Source organism: Homo sapiens, chromosome 2, assembly GCF_000001405.40.
Source record: "Homo sapiens chromosome 2, GRCh38.p14 Primary Assembly".
Lineage (NCBI taxonomy): Eukaryota > Metazoa > Chordata > Mammalia > Primates > Hominidae > Homo > Homo sapiens.
This window is the reverse complement of record NC_000002.12, coordinates 5,810,144-5,814,928: the sequence shown is the minus strand read 5'-3', so window position 1 is coordinate 5,814,928 and position 4,785 is coordinate 5,810,144. Positions and strand designations below refer to the sequence as shown.

The window sequence follows — 4,785 nt, the reverse complement described above, 5'->3', positions numbered from 1 at the left end:
ATAAACAGAGTTTTAAATTCTCTTTGTGTCTATTGATCTTTTTTTCAATCTTCCACCTATTGATCAAAGCATTTGATCAATAGAATAAAGTTACAATATCACCTGCCATATCCCATACTTGGGCACTTTTGCTTAAAGAAGAAGAATGCAGAGGTTTGTTTTTATTCTCAAAATGATTACAACCTTAAATGCTGCATTGGATATGTGCATTACCTTATCCGATAAACCTTATGAAATCATCCCTCCCTCTGTTTTCCAGGCTGTCTCTAGGGTTCCAAAGCCCAGCAAGGCTGGACATTAAATTAAAATGATTTGCTATTTACACAGAGCCTTTCATTTTCTAAGCAGCAAGCTCAGTCTTTAACCTTTTATTTACCTCCATTATAACACTTAGCAAACTGTACTAGGTGCTTGCTTTTCTATCTCATTATACTGTGCTCTCCTTAAGATGCTCAACATATGTGATGGAGCAATGATGTATAAAAAAGAGAGAATAAATAGAAAGAGAGAGCAATGGAAAGAGGAAGGAAGAATTTATCATAACAAAATTATGACCTCTGTTCTGATCCAGTTACATTTAAAAGCAGATAAGAATGCTCACACTATTTTATTCTAATACTTTCACGAATACTGTTGTGTCCTTCTTTCAAATAGCACTTATCTAAAAACAATTGGGCAAATATTACGAGAATATTGGTTGAAGGGTATTCATATTATTAGCAATGATGTCATTCTAGCCTTAATTTCTCTAAAGAATATGGGTCAAGAATGTGCCAGAGATGGCCACTACTAGTGCCTAATGAATTTCATTGTCCCCCAGAAGGCAGAGTTGGCTGAGACCCACATGGGCTCCTTTACTGTGTGCTCGGGTGTGATTCTTTCAGCAGGACTGCTCTGAAATCTCAAGCCCCACAGAATCATCTGGAGATTCTCGGATTGAATCTCAAGTTCCCAGTTTGTAGTGAATGCCTAAGAGTTAATAGTCGCCATTCTGGAAAAACACTGACTTTTTGCTTCATTCATTCATCCAGCCAGTAACTAAGTTACTAGTATATGCCAGGCACTGTAGAGTACTGAGTAGAAGACGCAAAACTTCTGACTTCTTCAAGTTTCTCATAGCTTGCATTCTATGGAAAAAGATAACCAATAAGCAAAATGTAAATCAAATATATGTAATATTAGATGCTGATTATTTCTATAAACAAAAATAAAGCAAGAAAGAAAGTCAAGGAGTGTGTGAGTTTGTGGTAAGGAGAAGTATAAACAAACAAAGTAGTGAGAAAGGGTACTATATTCCTGTTGTACTCATGTAGACTATACATTATGCATATTATATAAATATATACATATGATGATTATATATGCTATGTGATTACATGTAATATATGTGATAGGGTATATTATATATGGCATATAAATATGTATGTATACTTTCATATAGATGAAAAATATATACATAATATACTATATAGTCATATATGATAATATATACTATATATTGCATATGTACTATATATACAAGTATATATTGTCATATATATGATAATATATACTATATATAATGCTATACTACATATGATATATATACTATATGATACATATACTATATATGAGATTATATATGATATACATGAAGATAACATACATATGAGGTATATGTGAGCTATATATATAGAATTTACAATATATATTATTTATGTATTATATATCTGGAATACAATAAACACAATGATGTCCAGGCTAGGTTTTCAAAGATTCTTAGTCGAATGGGGGTAATGACATGTACAGACGAGCAAGTCCTAGTGTGCAAATCACACTGAGTTGGCCAGGGTGTAAGGGAACCAAGAAGCAGGCCCCTAGTAACCTCCACAGGCTCTGTGTCCTCAAGGACGGCAGAGATTCATTTGAACTATGCATAGAGACTCAGGAGTTTCTGAGTTATTCTGGAGCAGTATTTTCCATACTTCAGGTCCTGATCCAGGGGGTGATGAAATCAATCTTCTGAGTTGTGACCAGACTTCCTTAGAATGAAATAAAATAAAGTACAATAGAAGAAAAGAGAGTGAAAGAGAAAATACTAGAGTGTGGTGCAAGATTGTGTGCGTGTGTGTGTGTGTGAGTGTGTGTGTGTGTGTGTGTGTGCGAGAGAGAGAAATATTTGTTTGCATTTGTGGACAGTAGGTTAAAATGTAAATGTGAAATGTGTCCTAGTCTGGATATGTCAAAATGAGTTTATAATCCAATGTTCTAGAACACATGGAGGCTAACTCCAAACGTTAACAATGACAACAAGGCAGTCAGAGCCCTGGAGAGAGATGCACTCCTCAACATTGCCTGTTGCTGAAGATTCAGAACTAGCAGCAACACCAAAACAAAAAGATCAAGCTGGGGTAACCTGGGAAGGATGCCTCCTCCCGCTCCCTCTCCTCCTTATCCAGGGTCCCTTCCAGCTTCTCCAGGGTGCCTTCCAAGGTCCCTTTTAGCTTCTCCAGGGTCCCCTTCAGGAGTGAAGTGGACTGGGTGCACAGCCTGTGCTCCACCCCAGGAGCCTGGCAGTGCTGAGAGGAGAGTGTGTCACACCCCACGGGAGGGACCTTTTGCCACTGGGGACAATGCATTTGGGACACTTATCTATCAGCAGGAAGTTAAGATACCCCAGCTGGGAACAGCTTTAAAAGTAAAAAGTTATCTATTATGACATCCGAGGGGATTGCATCAATTAATTCGTTAAATCTATTGGTGCTCCTGGAACTTTGGAGACTTTGTGTACAGTGGAGAAAACTCTGGACATGAGTTACTTAACCTGGTTTTGAACCTCATTCCTGCCTTTAGAGATCTAGTGTGTCTGGGCAAACTACTCAAACTCTCTGGGCCACACTGACTTTATCTTGTAATGTGGGCAGTAATAACTACTTCCTAAGATCTTTATGAAGATTCTCTTAAAAGTAGTGTCTATAAAACTCCTGGTGTAGTGTCTGGCAAGCAGAGGTATACTAATTCAAGTCCTGATTGAGTTATTAGGGCACATTATCTTACCAAAATAGTAAGTGTTAGAATCTTACAAGAACTCAGAATCAAGGTTAAAAAGGAACAAGAAACACCAACCGTTCAGGACAAAGACTCTCGATATTATTTAACTTGAAGGTGACATTGTAACGAGAACTTCTCAGCTGGAGTTAATTGATTTGAACAATTCAAGTCCACCAGGCAAATCAGCCCAGGACAGCTTACCACGCTGGCCGAGTTAATTTTTTTTTCACATAGTTTTTGAACGGCTGCGATGTTAAGAGGAGACCAAAGGCTGTGAGGTGAGTAAAACCTACCTGATCTCACTGTGAATATTCTATGCTGAGGGAATTGCCTTTGTTGCTACCAGGGTTTAAGCAGCATGGTGTATTTAGGTCACATTCAGGGAGCCGTATTTCCCCTGCTGCGGTCATTGTCACTAGAAGTTGGCATATACACATCTCAGCAAGGACAGTCCCTGTCATCCTAACACACGATTCAAATACTCATCCCTGCACGATGTACTGACCAAAATACTTCTGTGTCTGTTACCCCATTTAAACTTCACAATTCATCTTGCTGTGGGCCAGATACTGTGCTAGGTACCCAGAGGGTCACTGGAGTTGTGTATTTTTTGCCTCATTTTACAGATGGAGAAAATAGAATTCACTGAATGTCAAGGGACTTGCCCAGGGACACACAGTGTGTAAGTGAAAGATTGGGATGTGAATCCGTGTCCTGATTTCAGGCTAAGAGCTCTCAGGTGTCATTCTTATATACCCAGAGACAAAATAAAGGCCAGACATTCTTCTGGATTTCTCCTTTTTGTTCCTACAACTTGACAAAATAATATGTTCTCCAGCAAAATGATAATACTTGATATTTCCTGGAAACATTATGCTATGTTCTTGTCTCATTTTTTTTTCCTGATCCAGTCCCTTTTTAGGAAATGTTTTTATATTTATCTTCTCCGTGTGAGTTGCTACTCCTTCTTTTCTCTTTCAAGACCCAGATCGGAAGCCCTCCTCCTCCAGGAAGACTTTCTTGATCCTCCCAATTGTACATGTGCTCTTTCTTTGTGCTCACAGAGAACCTGACATTTCTCTCACATCTTTTAACAAATTATGTTGTCATATTTCTATTTTGCAGTGTGCTTTCTCCATTACACAGTCACCTAATTGAAGATTGGCCCCAAATCTTATTTATCTTGGTGTCCTATTGGCTAATGGCCATGCCTCACACATAATAAGTATTGAGAAAATGATTGTTGATTAAATGAATGAAGGTAAATTATGTTAATCAGTCTGTGAACATATTTAATATAGAAGTCAACTAAGATCAAATTATTAGAGGTACATTAAAAATGCAAAAGGAAGAGAAATAGAATTTATTGGTTTGATATTTCATATCAGCTTGGACTAGAAGAACACTAAGATTTGTTCTGAATCAGAAAGTCTATGGTTCTGTGATTTTTGTCAGGGGGCAGTGCTGTGGTTTGAAAGCATGTTCCCTCCAAAATTCATGATGAAACTTCATCCGCACTGTAATAATAAGAGGTAAGGCCTTCTGGGAAGGACTAAACCGTGAGAACTCCACATTCATAAATAAAGCAATGCCATAAAAGAGGCTTCAGAGACAGTTCACCTATCTTGCTCTTCTGCTCTTCTGCCACGCCACACAAGGACACAGCACTCCTCCCGGCTGAGGAGGCAGAAACCAGGTGCCATCTTGTCGGCAGAGAACAGGCACTTTCTAGACATGGGACCTGCAAGCACCCTG

The 4,785-nt window shown here is 38.4% G+C and overlaps 1 long non-coding RNA gene across 1 annotated transcript; it reads left to right on the top strand.

The window, feature by feature from the left end:
- The first annotated feature begins 2,332 nt into the window (after positions 1 to 2,332).
- LINC01810 (long intergenic non-protein coding RNA 1810) lies at positions 2,333 to 4,293 on the top strand. The gene is made up of 4 exons (NR_146954.1): positions 2,333 to 2,390; positions 3,145 to 3,308; positions 3,657 to 3,712; positions 4,156 to 4,293. It is a non-coding gene; the product is annotated as a long intergenic non-protein coding RNA 1810 (long non-coding RNA).
- Positions 4,294 to 4,785: the final 492 nt, after the last annotated feature.